This window comes from Homo sapiens, chromosome 2 (assembly GCF_000001405.40).
Source record: "Homo sapiens chromosome 2, GRCh38.p14 Primary Assembly".
Lineage (NCBI taxonomy): Eukaryota > Metazoa > Chordata > Mammalia > Primates > Hominidae > Homo > Homo sapiens.
Window position 1 is genome coordinate 113,745,267 of NC_000002.12, and position 21,428 is coordinate 113,766,694.

Consider the following 21,428-nt stretch of genomic DNA (forward strand, 5'->3'; position numbering starts at 1 on the left):
GGAAAAAAAAATTCTTCATAGTATCTATTAACCTACTCTGCATGCCATCGCAGTTCTAAAAAACAGAGAGACAAACAAGAAACTGTGCTGTGAATAAGGTCACCAAGCCAGTGCTTCACAAATTGCTATTAAATTTTAGAGTAACTAAAATTTTTCTCAGATAAAATGCCATGTTTGGAAAGAAAACAAGTATCATTAAAAATACATTTTAAAGAGATGCCACCCTGAGCAACATAGCAAGACCATGTTCCTAAAAAGTAAAAATAAAAAGTTAGTGGTGGAGTATGCTTGTATTTAGGAGGCTGAGACAAGGTGATTGCTTAAGCCCAGCAGTTGAAAGTTAGAATAAGCCATAATTGTGCCACTGTACTCCACCAGAGGCAATAGACCAAAACCCTGTCTCTAAAAAGAAATCTAAAAATAAAAAATAAAAAAAGAGATGCCTGAGTGATCATCTTAAAAAAAGATTTTTATATACTACCTCTCCAACTAGATTACAAATACTTAAAATAAGTGACTATGTCAATTACTTTACTTGCTTATTACCTGTCCCCTCGCAAATACGCACACACTCACACACTAAAACAAAGCTGTATCTTCAGAGCCTAGAACGTGTTTAACACAGATTTGTCACTGTAAAAAATTTGTGGAACAAACGAATAATTTGCCTATATAGTCTCAGTGTCAAAAATATTTGTTTCTAAATGATAATAATAATGTGCATGAAGTGAAAAAGTTGGTTAGTAACAAAGGATTGTCCTTTATTATTTTCACTCCTGAACCAGTTTTCCCTTCCCCTCTCTCTTCAGAGGCAGCTAAATTGCTTACCTCTAGGCCCCAGGTAACCCTAAGGAGAAAAAAAGTACCAAATTACAATCCTAATGATGGGCACCCAATATTGAGCCATATCTATGTTGTAATACAGCTTTGCTGCCATCAAACCTGTTTCAGTTTTTCCTACCATGGCTCAACCCCACCTCTCTATTCCTGACAAGAAAAGAAGCACTTACCAAAGAACTATTCATAGTTGTATCTGTTGTGCAAGCAGCAAAGTAACCTTCAGCATCTGCAAACTAAATACAGATAACAAGATACAAAATTCAATGAAACTTACATTATACTGTAGGACTAGTCAGACGTAACTCAGATAAATAGAAGCAAAAATCCAGAATCAACCTGTAAGACTAAAACTGTTACTAATAATAATAGCAGCTAATGCCACATATTCACCATTGTGAGGTAGGTATTATCTTCATTTTATTGATGAAAAATTTGAGGCTGAGAGATTTTTAATCCTGACAGTCAGGATTAAAACCCAAGTTAGTCTAAAACCAAAGCTTATGCCCTTTTCGGAACACTACTATAACATTTCAGATAAGTAGGGAAAAGAGGGATGGGTTAGTTAAAAAGGCAAGTAACAGGCCAAGGCTGGTGGATCATTTGAGGTCAGGAGTTCAAGACTAGCCTGACCAACATGGTAAAACCCTGTCTCTACTAAAAATACAAAAAAATTAGCTAGCAGTGTTGGCAGGTGCCTGTCATCTTAGCTACTCGGGAGGCTGAGACAGGAGAATCACTTTAACTCTGAAGGTGGAGGTTGCAGTGAGCCAAGATTGTGCCATTGCACTCCAGCCTGGGCAGCAAGATTACGTCTCAAAAAAAGAAAAAAAAAAAAAAAGGTAAGAAACATCTTGGTATTATTATGAAATTAATTTTGACCTCAAAAACCTCTGAATGAGACCAAGCACGGTGGCTCACACCTGTAATCCCGGCAGTTTGGGAGGCTGAGGTGGGTTGATCACTTGAGGTCAGGAGTTTGAGACCAGCCTGGCCAACGTGGTGAAACCCCATCTCTACTAAAAAATGCAAAAATTAGCTAGGCACAGTGGCGCATGCCTGTAATTCCAGCTACTCAGGAGGCTGAGGCAGGGGAATCGCTTGAACCAGGACGTGGAGGTTGCAGTGAGCCGAGATCACGCCACTGCACTCCAACCTGGGCCACAGAGCAAGATTCCGTCTCAAAAAAAAAAAAACCCTGAATGAATTTCAAGGTCTGGATCACACTTTAAGAATCACTGCGCTAATGCTATGTAAATATGATTTCATTTCATATCCACAGCTAGTCTATCATTATCTCTGCTGAAAGTCTGAAGAGGTTAAAAAACTTGCCCAAGATCAAAAACTGGAGAGTGATAGAACAAGATTCAAACACTAGAGCCCATGCTGTAAAAGAACCCTAACAAATCAGTAATAAAAAGGGAGTCAATGTAGAAAAATAAGACACAGACAACACACACAAGAGTTCTACTTCCCAAAAAATATATGAAAAAGTAACCAAAAACATGCACATTAAACAAGCTATCATCATTGTTCACCTGTCCAGTTGGCAAATGATGGGATGTTGGTAAGGGTTCAATCATGAGATTTAATGAGTGTTTAACAAGGGTTTAATTATATACTGCTAACAGAGATAAGAATTAATGCAACCATTACAGACAGTAATTTAGCAATAAGAATTACAAGCTTTAAAAATGACATTATTTGGCCGGGCGCAGTGGCTCACGCCTGTAATCCCAGCACTCTGGGAGGCCGAGAGGGGTGGATCGCTTGGGGTCAGGAGTTCAAGACCAGCCTGACCAACATGGTGAAACCCCGTCTCTACTACAAATACAAAAATTAGCCGGGCATGGTGGCGGGCACCTGTAATCCCAGCTACTTAGGAGGCTGAGGCAGGAGAATCACTTGAACCCAGGAGGTGGAGGTTTCAGTGAGCTGAGATCGCGCCACTGCACTCTAGCCTGGACAAGAGAGTGAGACTCTGTCTCAACAACAGCAACAAAAAATGAATGAAGTACAGAAACACTACAATATGGATTAACCTTGAAAAGAATTCCATTTTCATTTTTATTTTATTTTTTTGAGACAGTCTCACTCTGTCACCCAGACTGGAGTGTAGTGGTTCAGTCTCTGCTCACTGTAACCTTCACCTCCCGACTTCAAGCAATTCTCATGCCTCAGCCTCCCGACTAACCGGGATTACAGGAGTGCACCACCACGACTGGCTAATTTTTTGTATTTTTAGTTGAGACAGAGTTTCACCATGTTAGCCAGGCTGGTCTCAAACTCCTGGCCTCAAGTGATCCACTCACCTCAGCTTCCTAAAGTGCTGGAATAATAGGCATGAGATACCGCACCAGGCCCAATTCCATTTTTGTAAAAAATAAAAAATACACACATGAAAAGAATGGCAGGATATATGTCAAAATATTATCAGTGGTTATTCCTTGAATGGTAGCATTTATTTTCCTCTTTTTGTTTCTCTGTAGCGTCTAAATTTTCAACAATATACCTATACTAATACACATACAATTTATCCCTACATGTGATATTATGATGTATATATAATTTCTACAATGTATATGTATTACTTTTGCAAAGTAAAAAAATACATACTCATATTTTTGGTAAGTTAAATTTGTGTGTGTACATGAGTATACATTTGCAGGCTTCACCTACATTTAAAAAATTGTTTTTAATTGTTTTTTATTTATTTATTTTGAGACGGAGTTTCACTGTCACCAGGCTGGAGTGCAGTGGTGCGATCTCAGCTCACTGCAGCCTCTGACTCCCAAGTCCATGCAACTCTCCTGCCTCAGCCTCCCGAGCAGCTGGGACTACAGGAGTGCGCCACCATGCCCAGTTAATTTTTGTATTTTTAGTAGAGACGGGGTTTCACCATGTTGGCCAAGGATGGTCTCGATCTCCTGACCTCATGATTCGCCCCCTCGGCCTCCCAAAGTGCTGGGATAAGAGGCATGAGCCACTATGGCCCAGGCAGGTCTTGAACTCCTGAGGCTCAAGAGATCTGCCTGCCTCGGCCTCCCAGCATGCTGGGATTACAGGCATGAGCCACCAAGCCCAGCTTTAAAAAACAATTATTGAAAGCCCCTGACTGCTGGGTGCAGTGGCTCAGGTCTGTAACCCCAGCACTTTGGGAGGCCAAGACGGTGGAATGCCTGAGGCCAGACTTTGAGATCAGCCTGAGCAACATAGTGAGACACTGTCTCTACAAAAAATACAAAAATCAGTGGGGTGTGGTGTTGCATGGCTACGTACTCAGCTACTTGAGAGACTGAGGCAAGTAGACTGCTTGAGCCCAGGATTCAAGGTTACAGCAAACTGTGATTAAACCACTGCACTCCAGCCTGGGCAACAAAGTGAGACCCTGTCTCTAAAAATAAATTAATAATTTTAAAAAGGATGTACTTATTAGATAAGACAAGAAACAATACTATTTTAACCCACAAAAAATAATACACACGAAAGAAAAAGATTAAGAGAGACAGAAAATAATACAGTGGTTACTAGGGTTTGGAGGGAAGAATGAATAGTGGTTATTTTTAAGTCTGTGTACAGACTTTCGGTCTAGGATGATGAAAAATTCTGGAGCTGATGGTTATAGAGCAAAGTCAATGCGCTTAATGCCACTACTATACATTTAAAAATAGTTAAAATGGTGTATTTCACATTATATATATTCTAACATAATAAAGAATTTTTTAAAAGGATTAACATAAGAAAGTTTTATAATTCTTCATTCTCAATAATTCAAAATTTCTACTTCTATAAGGAAGATATATCATTATATAAACTCATATTTCTTTCAACACTATGAATGAGCATATTATATTATATTACATCAATCAAAGAATATAATTTGATTAGCCAAACATCTAAAATACGTCTGGAAATATGATATTTTCATTTTAATACATAAAACTTTGAATTTTTTTGTTTCCAGAATCCACCTAACAATTAGAGGATACTCATCCAATCTGCAAATGACAGACTCTTGATATTCTTCTTATTCCTTACTTTCATCTTCATTGCCACATTAATTGATTTGGGCTAATTCAAGAATTTTTAACAACTCAGAAAATGTCATGGAGTAAGAGTTCTCACAAACTATTCTGATACTACTTAATTAGAAGAATAAATTTAAAATTTTGGACAAGAGCCGGTTTTCTTATATCATCTTCACTCACTTAACTGAACAACTTAAAATATGACCGTCCTTAAAGAAACTAATACATCTTTAAACTTTGAAAAAACGTATCTATACCCCCTTCCTAACAGACAGTTAAAATTAAAAACTTACAAAAGCAGCATGCTTTCCGCGAAGTCCTCTTGTACACTGTTGTCTCCATGGCTTCCAAATAATAAAGCCCAAAAGGTACAAAACAAACATAGATGTTTTTGCAAAGGTGCTGAAGAATGGTTTGTTGTACTGGGTAAAAACATACTGTAGAGGAAAAAGTTACACAGACAACTCTGAGATGACCTTAAACCTTATTACTCATCTCCAAAATAAAGTCACTACATGATTTTTAACTCTTCAGAAGTTCACTTGGAAAGAAAAAGTCAAAGCGATTACAAAAGTATTTTAGATCCATTTCTGAAGACTGTATCGGCCTTGCACACAGAAGGGCACCACCAAACAAAGCAGCAACAGCTGCTAAAAGAAGTTGGGTTTACCATTCGTTGGGACCTACCACGAAACAGTGCCTACACTAGGAGCTAAAGAAAAGTAAGACAGGGCCAGGCGCGGAGGCCCAAGCCAATAATCCCAGCACGTGGGGAGACCAAGACAGGAAGATTGCTTGAGCCCAGAATTTCAAGACCTGCCTGGGCAACATGGCAAAACTCCGTCTCTGCAGCAAAATAGAAAAATTAGCCAGGGTGGTGGCGTGCACCCTCAGTCCCAGCTACTTGGGAGGCTGAAGCGGGAGGATCCCCTGAGTTCACAAAGGTTGAGGCTGCAGTGAGCCATGGTCAAGCCACTGCACTCCAGCCTGGGCAACAGAGCAAAGACCCTATCTCATAAAGAAAAACAAAAGAGAAGGAAGGGAAGTTATCCTGCCCTTGGGGAGCTTAACATCTAATAGAGGAGACATATATATGAAGAGAATACAGCATCATGTGCCAAGTAACAAGAGACGGGTTCAGGATGCCACGGAGCACCAAAAGGAGACTGACAAATTTCAAGGTTATGGACGTTTCCCAAGGGAGACTGTTTTTTTGTTTGTTTGTTTGTTTTTAGTGTATTGTGAATATAAACTCACAATTTTTTATATCCTAAGAAAATTCCTAGTTATATCCACTAAAAAGGCATAGAAAAAAATGACAATCCAGGAGGAAAGTGCAACTCTAGGACGTAAATGGTGGTCCACGCCATTTTACACTAAAAGAAACAATGGCTCTGGCCAGGCACAGTGGCTCACACCTATAATCCCAGCACTTTGGGAGGCCGAGGCGGGTGGATCACTTGAAGTCAGGAGTTTAAGCCCAGCCTGGCCAACATGGCGAAACCCTGTCTCTACAAAAAATACAAAAATTTGCAGTACATGGGGGCACCTGCCTGTAATCCCAGGTACTCTGGAGGCTGAGGCAGGAGAATCACTTGAACCCAGGAGTCAGAGGTTATAGTGAGCCAAGATCATGCCACTGCACCATTCCATACTGGACAACAGCGTGAGACTCTGTCCCCAAAAAAGAAACAATGGCTCCTATAATAAATGGCCAAATCCAGGTATGGAGCAGAAAATGTACAAGATGGGCCCAGGGCATCTTGTGGTGGAAAGAAAATGTTAAAGATTAATAAGATGTCAGGCACAGTGGCTCACGCCTGTAATCCCAACACTTTGGAAGGCCAAGGCGGGTGGATCACTTGAGGTCAGGAGTTCAAGACCAGCCTGGCCAACACAGTGAAACCCAGTCTGTACTAAAAATACAAAAATTAGCTGGGCGTGGTGGCAGGTGCCTATAATCCCAGCTACTCAGAAGGCTGAGGCAGGAGAATTGCTTGAACCTGGGAGGCGGAGATTGCAGTGAGCCGAGATAGTGCCATTGCACTCCAGCCTGGGTGACAAGAGCAAAACTCTGTCCCATCTCAAAAAAAAAAAAAAAAGATTAATAAGGCCATATTAAAAAGACTTAAAGAATTCCAGCTAATAAATACAGAGGGAATAACTCAAAAAAAAATCACCATTTTGCAACCCCTAATGAAATACTTTATCTAGACAACTTAAACGTGGATATTCAACTATTACCTAAAAGTTGGTGAGGAATTTTATAGTACTTAAATTGGCATCATCTAAAGTGAGACTTGCAGTCATTATGTATGTCATGCTGGAATGTTACAGGAAGTACTCAGTACCCCAAAGTATTCTTTCCTGAAAACTAAACCTAAATCAAGACTTTACACCTAACTACCACTTTACAAGAAATAAGAGAAAAATAACAAGTTAAATGATACCCCAAGGAAACAATCAGCCAAATCCAGAATGTGTGATACATCCAATAGGAAAAATGACCCAGTTTCTCCAACAAATTTATGGTATTAAAAAAAAGGAGGGAAGATACAGTTAAGGAGTAAAAGATACCACAAATGCAATGCGTGATCTTCATTTAGATCCTAACAAACTTAATGGGAAAAAAAAGTGCTTGACACCACCGGAGAAAACTGGACTGGAGAAAACTGAACATAGACTGGATATCAGATGATCTTAAGGAATTACAGTTAATTGTGTTAACTATGTTAATGGCATAGTGATTATGTTTAAGAAAATTAAAAGTCCTTTTCAGTTTAAAGTAAATAGGAAAGAAATCGTGGGTGAAATGGCATGTGACATATGCTTTAAAATATGCTTTAAAATGCTCCAGGAAAAAAAGTTTTGAGGAGAGGTTGATAAGGTTGGCAAATTTGGTTAAGTGCTAAAGCTAAGTAACGAATACATGGAGACTCATTATAATATTCTACTTTGTATATGTTAGAAAATAACCATAATAAAAAGACTGATTTTCTTTTTGAAATACACACTTTATCTCCAAAGTTTGTTTTTCTTTTTTTTTTTTTTTTTTTTTTTTTTTGCTAAGGAGTTTCACTCTTGTTGCCCAAGCTGGAGTGCAATGGCATGATCTCAGCTCACTGCAACCTCTGCCTCCCAGGTTCAAGCGATTCTCCTGCCTCAGCCTCCAGAGTAACTGGGATTACAGGCACCCACCACCACACCCAGCTAATTTTTGTATTTAGTAGAGACTGAGTTTCACCATGTTGGCCAGGCTGGTCTCGAACTCCTGACTTCAGGTGATCTGCCCACCTGATCTTCCCAAAGTGTTGGGATTTCAGGCGTGAGCCACTGCGCCTGGCCCTATCTCCAAAGTTTAATGAGCATAACTGGTTGAAGAAGTAGAGACATTACATACATTCTTGAATAATGAGATTGTAAAACATCCTCTTACTAAAATATTTTACTTTAAAAAAATTAAGGTAAGTTGAGTTTTTTCCTCCAGTTTCATCAAAGTACAACTGACAAACACCAAATATATGTATTTTTTACAACATGGTGTTTCGATATATGTATACATTGTGAAATGATTACCACAAACAACAAATTGTTTTTTCCTTTCTACTTTGCTTAGATATGGTTAAATGATAATTTAACCAGGTGCTATTTTGTCCTAAATTTTATTAACTAATATATAAAAACAAACTATTTATTTTAAATGAAAATAAAATTTAAAAGATAGGTTTAGTTCCCTGTCAATATCAAAGACATTTCTTTGAGGTAGAAGTACAAAATGTTCATCTAAAAGAAGGTTAGAGAAGAGTTTTAAAGCAAAAAATATATGGTCTATTAGATTCCAGAGATTAATTCTGAAAAGCATAAAAACTTATATACTTGGCCAGGTGAGGTGGCTCACGTCTGTAATCCCAGCACTTTGGGAGGCCGAGGCGGGCGGATCATGAGGTCAGGAGTTTGAGACCATTCTGACCAACATGGTGAAACCCCGTCTCTACTAAAAATACAAAAATTAGCCTGGCGTGGTGGGGTGTGCCTGTAATCCCAGCTATTCAGGGGGCCGGGGCAGGAGAATCCCTTGAACCCGGGAGGCGGAGGTTGCAGTGAGCCGAGATCGCACCATTGCACTCCAGCCTGGGCGACAGAGCAGAGCAAGACTCCATCTCAAAAAAAAAAGAAAAAAAAAAAAAAACTTATATACTCATAGGATACAATGCCAATGTCAATATTTACTTAGCTACAATATGAGACCTGAGTATTAAACTGCTTCTTTTGAAAATTAGGTTCATTTTATAAATGCCAGTTTCCTGCTGTATATTCGCCTTAAAATTGCAACGTAGAAGTTGAAATGCAGACTTCTGAAAATAAAAGTTGCTTTTTATAGGGATCATTAACCAAGCAGAATAAAGTATACAAGTAGAAAGAAAAACTAGCTTGCAAATTCAAAATGCCACATTACTACCAATAGGTCATCAATAAAGACACAATTTAACTGAAGGAAACTGTCAAGATACAATTTAACTGAAGGAAAATTATGAGGTATACCATGCATCTTATAATAAGGTTTGAGTCAGCAAGCATAAATGTGGATGCAACCACTCATGGGCATTGTAACAGTGACCTATACATGAAAACTCATTATTTTTACTCATTTGTCCAAAAGCACTCTGAACCTTCTACTAAATGGTGACATTGTTTTGCATCCTGACAGTTATTTCACTAGAAAATAATATTTACAGAAAGAATTTGAATTTAGAAAAAAAGCCACGAGTTACACTTTCAAATGTAAGAAAATATGCATAGTCTCTCTAAGTAACCCTCCCTAAAAGATACAAGAAAACTGTATGAAACAATAAAAAGGATCATCCTTTCAGTTTTAACTTCAAGTGGCAATAATTCAACGTTTTTTAAAAATTCAATAGTATTTAAGATACTGCTTTTAGAAAGCAGGAGATTGTAACGGCTAGAGTTACTACAGGTTAAGAGTTAACATTGTGGCTGTAATGTAACATCATTCCTGGACCAAAGGTACATACCGAAGTAAGTTCAGAGGAAGCAACCCATATCACATCAACAAGCAGAAGAATAACAATCCCAAGAGCCATTCGCCTGCGCTGAGTGAAACCACTGTTCTGGGAATTCATTCGGTTCATGACAAATACACACACCATTTGCAGTCTGTTTTTTAGAAAATACAGATCACATTAGAGATGATTTTAGAAAAACAACCATTAAAAATGAGAACATTAGTATAACAGAAACATTTGACTTTTGTTAGCTAATGTTCAGTGTGAAAGTTACATAGAGGATAAACGTGGAATCTACCTTGTCTTAAGAGCCCTTCTGAGATCCTCAAGAGCAATGCCGGAAAACTTGGCAGATCTCAGTCTAAAAGGAGGTGAAGAACTCAGCACCCCTAAAAACAACCATGAAATTATGCTATGAAAACGTGAATAACTCAAGGTAAGATTCATCACATCGTTTTTTACTCTTCATCTTCAAACTCAAAGCAAATCAATGAAAAGGACCAAAATGTGTTAAACATACTTGCCACCTTTCTCAGTACTTTCATGGTATCCACTGCACGCTTCAGATTATACTTAGAGAGATACGCGATACGGGGCGGGCAGGGAGGGGGAGTAATATACAACATACGGCACATTTAAGAACAGTTAACTACCAGAAAATAGCTTCTCTGAGTTTCACAAATACGGAACTCCATTCACCTCTCCATCCAGAGGAATCCATCCCTGGGGACAGCGTCTAGACACTGTTTCTAAAAGTGTCTTTTCTGTCCCTGATCTGCTGGAGTGGAATTTGGTTATCGGAGAGTAAGTGATTTGCTGTGGGTCTTGAAGGCACCTTTCCAATCTCTTCAAGTGGTAAAAGAAAAGGATTCTCCATGCTCCTCCACCCACCTCTATCAAAACATCCAGTCATTTTAAAAGAAACAGCTGGGAAAAGAAATCATCCTTCTGTTTTGGAGCGGGGAAGACAGTTAAGGCAGCGACGCCTCCCCGGGGAGCCGAGGCGAGGGCGCACGCACGGCTTCCTCAATTGCCAGCGGTGGGCGCAGGGCTCCGGCGCCCCTGTCAGCTCCCGCTCCCTCCGCCCCTAGAGACCTTCACGGTTTCGGTCAAGGCGCTCCTGCTGCCACCGAGGGCAGGAGGTGGTGCTGCTGGTGGGCACTCCGTCCCGGTTTGGGCTCCGGTGATGTCGGGGCCCTTCCCTGCCTGCCTACCTGGCCTTCCTGCCCCGCGATGGCGTCGTGGCGGCACCATGAGCGGACCGGTCAGGCCCCGCAGCCGCCCAGCGCCACGGCCGCGGCCTCGGACTCACAGAGCTGTCACCGCGCCTGACATCGCGCCGCACTGGAGGCCCAGCTCCTGAAGACGCGGTGCCCCTCAGGGAGAGGCTCCCGACACCACCCAACTCCACTCGGCCCAGGAGGGCGTGGAGCGGGTGAGGGGAAGGGACGGCACAGTCAGCTATGGCCGCGGAGGCCCGGAGATCTGCTCTGGCCCCGGCCCCGCCCCCGGCTTGCCCTCCGCGCGGCCCCGCCCCCAGTCCCCAGCCCGGAAGCGGTGGCGCGCGGGTGACGTCATAGGGGCGCGACGGCGGACTGCGCGCGGTCGCGTATGCAGCGAGGCTTGGCGGAGCTAGGGGAAGTAATGCGAGGCTCTGGTCGCCGAGCGAGGGCTCGCGGCGGCGAGGCGAAAGAAGAGAGAAGATAGGAAGAAGGGAAGTAGGGCGAGGTGGAGGAAGAAGAGGAAAGCGAGCGTGGGTGTCTGGGGCAGAGCAAAGGACGAGGGAGTGGCTAAACCTCCGCCCGCCTTAGAACGAAAGCTGGCCGTTCCGTTTCACAAACTGCGAACCTGAAACTTCGGATATCCCTTTCTCGATGACAGCCGAAACGCAAAGTGGCTTAGAGTACTTTTGATTCTTGAAACCTTTTGTATATAAACAAGATCTCAGCTCTAGGAGTTACAACCTACATCCTAGGCCAAGCTACTTCAACTTCTCTGGTCCTCGGTTTCCTTGTCTACGATAATGATAGTACCTGCCACATTGGTTTTTTGTGTGTATGCTAGGATTGCATGAGTTTACATATGTGAAGGACGTAGATCAATTCATGGCACATAATAAGAACCTCACAGACGTCAGCAATTTTTTGTTCGTTCGTTTGTTTTGAGACAGGGTCTTTCTCTGCCACCCAGGCTGCAGTGCAGTGGCACAATCACAGCTCACTGCAACCTCTGCTTCCCGGGCTCAAGCGATTCTCCAGCCTCAGCTTCCAGTGTAGCCGGGACTACAGGCGCAAGCCACCAATGCCCGGCTAATTTTTATATTTTTTAGTAGAGACAGGGTTTCGCCATGTTGGCCAGGCTGGTCTCGTACTCCTAGTCTTAAGTGATCCGCCCGCCTCGACCTCCCGAAGTGCTGGAATTACAGGCATGAGCCCTGCCAAATGTTGGCAGTTATTAAACTGTATAGATTTGTTCCTTAAATATTTTGACTATTCCATGAGAAAGGTTTGTCCAGCATCTTGATTTCTATCTACAAAACAAAAACAAGACTAAAGGGTTCAGTAATTTAACATCTTGGTCAGATGGCGTGAAGAAATTAAATTTTCTTACTCCTATAGTCGCGATGTAGTGTACCTCTTACCTTTTAAGTCTCGTTTCAGTGAAGTTGAATGCATATTCTAGCAACTAATAAAACAATACCAATGAACATTTTTTAATTGATCGAATCAGTTTCAAACTATCAGCATCAAACACCTCTAATAAGTCATTCAGAAACCTATTGTGCAGAGTAAAAAAAAAAACCAACCAGGCCGGTCGCGGTGGCTCATGCCTGTAATCCCAGCACTTTGGGAGGCCGAGGCAGGTGGATCACGAGGTCAGGAGATGGAGACCATCCTGGCTAACACGGTGAAACCCCGTCTCTATTAAAAAAATGCAAAAAATTAGGCGGGGGTGGTGGCGGGCGCCTGTAGTCCCAGCTACTCGGGAGGCTGAGGCAGGAGAATGGCGTGAACCCGGGAGGCGGAGCTTGCAGTGAGCCGAGATCGCGCCACTGCACTCCAGCCTGGGCAACAGAGCGAGACTCCGTCTCAAAATAAATAAATAAATAAATAAATCCTTAACCAACTACTTGGTATTACTACTTAGGGGAAATTTGGTTGCAGACATTAATCACATTAGTCTGGCACCAGTTTGTTTTTTATTTCATTAGCATTCTTTAGGGTATCAGCCCATAATACGCCTAAGAATTCTTTATGCTACATATTTGATGTATAGTCTTAAAAAATAAGAGCATTATAAATCTCTCTCAGAATCTAAGAGTCAGGAAAGCTGGATACCAATGCTTTATCTGACTACAACTTGTTATGTAATCCTGAGGATCATTCCACTCTCTACTGTGCCTTAGTTTCTTCTATAAATATGGGTTTCTGAATTAAAATATTGTAAATGATAGTACTTTGTTAAGTTACCATTATTACCACCTGTTTCCAGACCATCTGTTAAAGGACAAGCTGTGGATATTCTTGTAACGGATAAAGTAATTCTGGCAGACTGTCTTCAGCGAGTCTCAAAACATAGTTCAACTTCCATTAATGTCTTTTCCCTGGGTTCTTTAAGGGAAATTCCACTGGACTGCTGTAACATAGGCCCTAGTGTGTTTCTGTGCTTTGGCACCATCCTGAGCATCTCAGGCATTCCTTTTTTCATCCTTATTTCTCTGTGTTACCCAAGGCTAAATCTTCAGCTGTATAATTTCAAAGATAAGTTCCACAAGAGCAAGGATTTTGGTCTATTTTGTTCTTCACTATTATCCTCAGCATCTAGAATAGTGCTTACTATTCTCTAGCTGGCAGTCAATGTTTGTTCAATGAACTTGAACATCCTGCTGTCTCTTGATCTTTTCCTCATACTTAATTCCTTTCTGAAGTCTCCATTTCTGTCATTTAGTAGTGAGAAAAGAAAATTATTTTTATCTGAGGAATGTAGTTATTTTAAACTGTCAGGCCCAGAGGGACATTAAAAGGAGACAACAATCACATCCTACTTCTCCCTTGTGCTATGTATTCATCTCTTGAAACTACTTGCTTATGCCACAAGTAGCTATAAATTAACCTAATGTCCCATTGGACAGTATAACCCACATCCTATAGCTTAACAATGTAACCAATCACTAATAAATGTTATTTCCATAAACCAATAAGAATTTCTGTACACAACGTGGTATCAGCCCACTCCTTGTTCCCTTTTTTGCCTTTAAAGATTCCCTTGTGGGCCAGGCGCAGTCGCTCACGCCTGTAATCCCAGCATTTTGGGAGGCCGAGGCAGGCGGATCACGAGGTCAAGAGTTCAAGACCAGCCTGACCAACGTGGCGAAACCCTGTCTCTACTAAAAATACAAAAATTAGCCAGGTGTGGTGGCACGCACCTGTAATCGCAGCTACTCAGAGGCTGAGGCAGGAGAATCTCTTGAACCTGGGGGTGGAGGTGGCAGTGAGCCGGGATGGTGCCATTGACTCCAGCCTGGGCAACAGAGCGAGACTCTGTCTCAAAGTAAATAAATAAATAATAAAGATTCACCTGTGGTGGCTGCTAATGGTGTGTATATTCAAGGCAACTTGAATATATGCTCCTAGGTTGCAATCTTCAAGCTTGACCCAAATTAACTCTACTTATATTAATTTTGCTTCAGCTTCTTCCTTTTAGGTCAACAGAGTAGCACTATTTTTCTAAGTCCCACAGGCTTAATCTTTTAATTTTATTAATTTCCTCTTTACTCTTCAAAGTCGATCACTCTTGAAATTTCTCAATAGCAGGCCCTGAAGATACATAAGGTGTTAAGTTCAATGCCTTCCAAAATAATCCCCCAAAATACACTCTAGAGAATATAATTTCCCCAGTAAGGTGCATGTGTCACAGTGTGAATACAAAAGCAAAATCATATGTGTGTACAGGGCAGTCACTAACTGCCATATATCAGTCTCAAATAGTATAATTCAAATCCCAGCCCTAATAAAATTATAAATGACTATATCTTGAGTCTTTGGGGGTATAAATTAATAATTGAAACCACCTATAATAATTCTGTAATTCCAAGAGCAGAAATAAATGGAGAACACTCAAATGAGTACAAGCAAAGGATATTTATTCAAAGCTTGCTGTAGCAAAGCAGTCAGCCACCATCACTTGTGTTTTTCAGAGATCGGAAGGCAGGCAGGAGAGTGTGAAAGCTTTATAATGTGAAAAAAGGAAAGACTTCAGGTATGCCCTGATTTGATGTTGCTGGCTGGAGGCAGGTTAAGTGGAAGCACGGCATCCTATGTGGTCAGTTGAGGATACATATTTGGCTTTCTCTGGTTGGTCCTAAGTTGGAAACAGGACAAAAACTAAGGAAACTGGCAGTTGATCAAGTCCTGGGATGATTAATGCAGAAATAGCTGTTGTCTTTCTGGACTAGTTCCTGGAGAGGTTGTAGGTCAGAGTTCTATTTTTATATATGTTCTGGTCATTGTCCATTTCTATATTCAGTCTGTCACAAGAGTACTCTATATCATCTTATTTTCTGCAGTACCTACCAGAATGCTGGGCACATGATCAGCTTGACAAATGCTTGTTGATTTGATTTCCTTCTAAGATGTAATTAAATGGATTGAGGTTGACAATTTTTAAAAATTATCGTATATAAAAGACTTATTTTGAATTTGAACCTTACAACGTTTTTTTGTTTGTTTGTTTTTGTTTTGTTTTGAGATGGGATCTCACTCTGTCACCCAGATTGGAGTGCAGTGGCTCGATCTCGACTCACTGCAACCTCCGCCTCCCAGGATCAAGTGATTCTCCTGCCTCAGCCTCACGAGTAGCTGGGATTACAGGCATGCACCACTATCATCCGGCTAACTTTTGTATTTTTAGTAGAGACAGGGTTTCACCATGTTGGCCAGGCTGGTCTCGAACTCTTGACCTCAAATGATCTGCCCACCTCGGCCTCTCAAAGTGCTGGGATTACAGGCATGAGCCATCGCTCCTGGCCACCTTACTACATTTTATGGAGTAAATCATGCTGTAGTGAACGTCATAAACTTGGGAGGTTCTGAGATATCTAAAGTATTAAGGGTTATTGCATGCAATCAAGTCATAGGTTTCAAGGGGTTTACTGGCAAGTTGGAGGAGTAATATATTCACAGAGATTTGAATAAAAGTTCCCAACATCCATAGAATAAGCATCCCTAGGCAGTGTTTGCTTGAAGGTGGCTGCTAATCAGTGTGTATATTCAAGGCAACTTGAATCTGTGCTCCTCGGTTGCAATCTTCAAGCTTGGCCTAAATTAACTCTACTCACATTAATTTTGCCCCAGCCAACTATGTACCCCACTTGTTGTCATGCCCATGAGGGGATGGACCAGAGTCCTGGAGTGACCTATTCAGGTAGATACTGATAGAGAAGACTTTTAAAAAGTGGTGAAATCTGAGCTTGATTTCAGTGATGGGTAGGATTTTAATAAGGGGGGAAAAGGATTTTTTTCCAAGTGAGTAAAACTATGATGACCAAGACAAAAAAGGTGTGTTCATAGGCAAGTGTAAAACTGGTTTGGCATATATGTAGAGAAGCAGTGGGAAATAAGACAGGTCAGGTGAGTTCTGGGGAGACTGAAGCGTGCTTTGGAAACTAGGCAAGAGAGTTTTTAATTTGTATGTGATGAAAACCTAAGGGCATTTAAGTAAGGGAGAAAAGCTTTCAGTAGATTAGAAAGTATTGGCTGGGCACGGTGGCTCACGCCTGTAATCCCAGCACTTTGGGAGGCCAAGGCAGGCGGATCACCTGAGGTCAGGAGTTGGAGACCAGCCTGACCAACATGGAGAAACCCCATCTCTACTAAAAATACAAAATTAGCCTGGCGTGGTGGTGCATGCCTGTAATCCCAGCTACTCAGGAGGCTGAGGCAGGAGAGTAGCTTGAACCCGAGAGGCAGAGATTGCCGTGAGCCGAGATTGTGCCATTGCACTCCAGCCTGGGCAACAAGAGCGAAACTCCGTCTCAAAAAAAAAAAAAACTATTGAGTGTCCACTTGATGTCTACCAGTGTGGTGGTATTGTGGAACTACTACAAAAGACATGAGGTCTGCCCTTAGGGAAATCATGTTATAGACAAAACTGATTATCAAATTGGGCAGGTATTTGCTAAGTTAGCAGATACCGAAACTAAATGCATTTCTCTAGTATCCTCCGTCAAAGTAATATATTTTGAGGTAAAATACTTTGAGTTCTTTCAAGGCCCACTATCTGTCATGTGATGCCATACTAGAGTCAGGCTGAAATTTGGTGTCTTATTGCTACAAAAAGTGTGTTTCATCAGTCTTAAGATCTCTATTTTAATGTTAATGCTGGTCAGCTGTGCCTGAATTCCAAAGGGAGGAGGGTATAATGAATCATGTCTGACCCTCACTTCCCATCACGGCCTGAAATAGTTTTTCTGGTTAACTTTGGAATGTCCTTGGCCGAGAGGAGGGGTTGATTCAGTTGATCAGGGAATTTTATTTTTGGTTTACATCTCTTGGTACTCTGTACCATGCTGCAAACCAAATCAATGGTGATTTTGAAAATGATCTCACTTGGGTATCACTTCCTATTGTATCTTGTTGTTGAAGGCATAATTGGTAGGGAATTGGATAAGAAAGCAAAAGGCCCATCTGACTGGCTCCTGAGCAATTTAAAATGGCACTGTCTATGCCCAACCTGTGCCTTCAAGCAGCTGACCAAGCCCCCTGCCAGATTAGTGGCCCATGCCAGCCAACTAGGGCATGGTAATGAGGAGCTCATTGACAGCCACACCCACTTCCCAATGTGGTCTTGACCTCAGCTTCTAACTTGTTCCCTCATCTCCCATCTTTGGTGGATTAGTTCATTTTCACATTGCAATAAAGAACTACCTGAGACTGGGTAACTTATAAAGAGAAGAGGTTTAAGTGACTCAGTTTCACAGGCTGTACAGGTAACATGGCTGGGGAGGCCTCAGAAAACTTTCAATCTTGGTGGAAGCTGAAGGGGAAGCAGCCACGTCTTATATGGCTGGAGTAGGAGGGAGAGAGCAATGGAGGAGTTGCTACCCACTTTTAAACAACCAGAGGCCAGGCGTGGTGGCTCACACCTGTAATCCCAGCACTTTGGGAGGCCAAGGCGAGTGGATCACTTGAGCTCAGGAGTTTGAGAACAGCCTGGGCAACATTGCAAAACCCTGTCTCTACAAAAAACGCAAAAATTACCCAAGCATGGTAGCACATGCCTGTAGTCCCAAGGTATTAGTCTGTTTTCATGCTGTTGATAAAGACATACCTGAGACTGAGAAGAAAAAGAGATTTAATTGGACTTACAGTTCCACATGGCTGGGAATGCCTCAGACTCATGGCAGGAGGCGAAAGGTGCCTCCTGCCTGGTAGCAGCAAGAGAAAATGAGAAGGATGCAAAAGTGAAATTCCCTGATAAAACCATCAGACCCTGTGAGATTTATTCACTACCATGAGAACAGTATGGGGGAACCACCCCCATGATTCAAATTATCTCCCACCAGGTGCCCCCCACAACATGTGGGAATTATGGGAATAAAATTCAAGATGAGATTTGGGTGGGGACACAGAGCCAAACCATATCACCCAGCTACTTGGGAGGCTGAGATGACAGAATTGCTTAAGCCTGGAAGGCAGAGGTTGCAGTGAGCCCAGATCATGCCACTGCACTCCAGCCTGGGTGACAGAGCCAGACCCTGTCTCAAAAATAAATAAATAAGTAAATAATAAATAAACAACCAGATCTCATGAGAACTCACTTGCTATCACAAGATTAGCAAGGGGGAAGTCTCCCCCCATGATCCAATCACCTCCCACCCAGCCTCTCCTCCAACACCAGGGATTATAATTCCACCTGAGATTTGGGCAGGGACACAAATCCAGACCATATCATTCGCTCCTGGCCCTTCCCAAATCTCATGTCCTTCTCACATAGCAAAATACAATCATCCCTTCTCAACAGTTCCCCAAGTCTTAACTCATTTCAGCATTAATTCAAAAGTCCACAGTCCAAAATCTTATCCGAGAAAAGGCAAGTCCCTTCTGCTTATGAACCTATAAAATAAAAAACAAGTTAATTACTTCCAAGATATAATGAGGGTACAGGCAATGATTAAATAAACTCATTGCAACAGGGAAAAATCAGCTAAAATAAAGGGGCTATAGGCCCTATGCAAGTCTGAAAGCCAGCAGGGTAGTCCTTAAATATGAAAGCTCCAAAATAATCTCCTTTGAATTCATGTCTCACATTGAGGCCGCACTGATGCAAGGGGTGGGTTCCCAAGGCCTTAGAAATCTCTGACCCTGTGACTCTCCAGGGTGCAGCTCCCTCGGCTGCCTTCATGGGCTAGCATTGAGTGCCTGCAACTTTTCCAGCTGCATGATGCAAGCTGTCGATGGATCCATTCTGGGTTCTGGAGGATGGCTCCACTTGGACTCTGTGTGAGGACTCCAAGCCCACGTTTCCCCTCTGCACTGCCATAGTAGAGGTTCTCCATGAGGGCTCTGCCCCCACAGCAGACTTCTGCCTGAACACCCAGGCATTTCCATGCATCCTCCGAAATCTAGGCAGAGGCTCCCAAGCCTCAACTCTTGCCCTCTGTGCACCTGCAGGCTTAACACTATATGGAAGCCACCAAGGCTTGTGACTTGCACCTTCTGAAGCAGTGGCCTGAGATGTATCTCGGGCCCTTTTAGCCATGGCTGAGACCGGAGTGGCTGGGATGCAGGGAGCAGTGTCCTGAGGTTGCTCAGGGCAGTGGGGCCCTGGACCTAGACTGTAAAACCATTTTTCGCTCCTAGGCCTCCAGGCCTGTAATGAGAGAGGCTGCCATGAAGGTATCTGAAATGCCTTCAAGGCATTTTCCCCATTGTCTTGGCTATTAACATTAGGGTCCTCTTTACTTATGCAAATTTCTGCAACCAGCTTGAATTCCTCCCCAGAAAATTGTTGTTTCTTTTCTACCACATGGCTGGGCTGCAAATTTCCATACTTTTACACTCTGCTTCCCTTTTATCTCATTCCAGGTCATTGCTTTCCTCATGAATATAAGCATAGGCTGTAAGAGGCAGCCATGCTATGTCTTGAACATTTTGCTGCTTAGAAATGTCTTCAGCCAGTTACTCTAAATTATCACTCTCAAGTTCAAAGTTTCACAGATCTCTAGGGCAGGGGCACAATACTTCCAATCTCTTTGCTAGTGCATAACAAAAGCGATCTTTGCTCCAGTTCCTGGTAAGTTCCTCTTCTCCATCTGAGACCGCCTCAGCCTGGACTTCATCGTCCATATCACGCTCAGCATTTTGGTCACAAGAATTTAACAACTTTTTAGGAAGTTCCAAACTTTTTCTCATCTTCCTGTCTTCCTCTGTGCCCTCCAAACTGTTTCAACCTCTGTCCATGACCCAGTTCCAAACTCTGCCCCTTACCCAGTTTGAAAGTCACTTCCACATTTTTAGGTATCTTTATAGCAATGCCTCACTCCTCAGTACCAATTTTCTGTATTAGTCCATTCTCGCATTGCTATAAAGAATGACCTGAGACTGGGTAATTTATAAAGAAAAAAAATGTTACATTGACTCACAGTTCCACAGGCTGTACAGGTTAACATGGCTGGGGAGGCTTCAGGAAACTTTCAATCATGGTGGAAGGCAAAGGAAAAGCAGGCATGTCTTATATCACTGGAGTAGGAGGGAGAACTTCTAGAAGGTACTACACACTTTTAAACAACCAGATCTTGTGACAACTCACTCACTATTGTGAGAAGACCAAGGGGGAAATTGTCCCTATGATCCAGTCACCCCCCACCAGGCCCCTGTCCAACTGAAGATCACAATTTGACAAGAGATTTGGGTGGAGACACAAATCCGAACAATATCGTTTGACTTCTACTCTGCTCCTGATATCAGATACCACTCACCCAGTACAACATTGGCTCTTTCTCGTAATTTGCACTGAGGGAAACCAAAATATTTCACCCCAAAACAGAATTCTTTAACATATTTCAAGATGGCTATTCAGAAGGGCTGGAAATACGAGAACAGTTGAAAAGCTGTCTTTTTGTTGGGGAGAGTTGCATCTGTAGAGAAAATCTGCATTGATATAGCCAGGCTTTCTCAGAGGCCCTCTCTTGTCCAAATCTAAGGAAGAGTAACTGAGAATCTGATACCTCTAAAGATCTGCAAGAAATATTTACCATCTATTCTCTCTGAGGGCTGCTATCTGTGAGATTTCCTCTACATAACAAGACTATCTTTTCTAGCCAGTCCTCTTCTTCCCCAACTATAACCTATTTTGCCACCAAAACCTCTTTTGCCACAATCAAACCCTCCATTCTTTCTGTAAACTTAAGAGGTTCTATAAGCTTTTGTGCCCCATTTTCTGCTTGGGGTAATCACTCTGTGATTCTTTACATTACCATGCTGTAGTCTGCTGGCATGGGCCACTCAAATGGCAGGCAGCTTGGTACATGTTAATACAT

At 42.0% G+C, this 21,428-nt stretch overlaps 1 protein-coding gene across 11 annotated transcripts in view, besides 3 other annotated features; it reads right to left on the bottom strand.

The window, feature by feature from the left end:
• Positions 1 to 11,376, bottom strand: part of SLC35F5 (solute carrier family 35 member F5) — a 53,961-nt gene extending 42,585 nt beyond the window's left edge. For 5 of the 11 annotated variants that reach the window (NR_104470.3, XM_047445924.1, XM_047445925.1 and 2 more), the window contains exons 1-5: positions 10,589 to 11,376; positions 10,188 to 10,278; positions 9,899 to 10,040; positions 5,159 to 5,302; positions 1,011 to 1,073 (exon numbers count right to left, since the gene is read on the bottom strand). Coding sequence is in view for 10 of the 11 variants with exons in the window: in XM_047445924.1 (XP_047301880.1) it covers positions 1,011 to 1,073; positions 5,159 to 5,302; positions 9,899 to 10,040; positions 10,188 to 10,278; positions 10,589 to 10,610 (462 nt within the window). In the remaining variant the exon portion in view is untranslated. The remainder of the gene's footprint in view (positions 1 to 1,010; positions 1,074 to 5,158; positions 5,303 to 9,898; positions 10,041 to 10,187; positions 10,279 to 10,588) is intronic. The other 6 variants (XM_047445923.1, XM_017005027.2, NM_001330316.2 and 3 more) reach the window with 2 other exon arrangements.
• Positions 11,302 to 11,531: a silencer, noted in NCBI's record as "silent region_11886". NCBI's record gives its function as "represses an Ori minimal core promoter by ATAC-STARR-seq in GM12878 lymphoblastoid cells {active_cell/tissue: GM12878}" and the evidence as "EXISTENCE:reporter gene assay evidence [ECO:0000049][PMID:35858748]".
• Positions 11,742 to 11,921: an enhancer, noted in NCBI's record as "active region_16426". NCBI's record gives its function as "activates an Ori minimal core promoter by ATAC-STARR-seq in GM12878 lymphoblastoid cells {active_cell/tissue: GM12878}" and the evidence as "EXISTENCE:reporter gene assay evidence [ECO:0000049][PMID:35858748]".
• Positions 12,102 to 12,151: an enhancer, noted in NCBI's record as "active region_16427". NCBI's record gives its function as "activates an Ori minimal core promoter by ATAC-STARR-seq in GM12878 lymphoblastoid cells {active_cell/tissue: GM12878}" and the evidence as "EXISTENCE:reporter gene assay evidence [ECO:0000049][PMID:35858748]".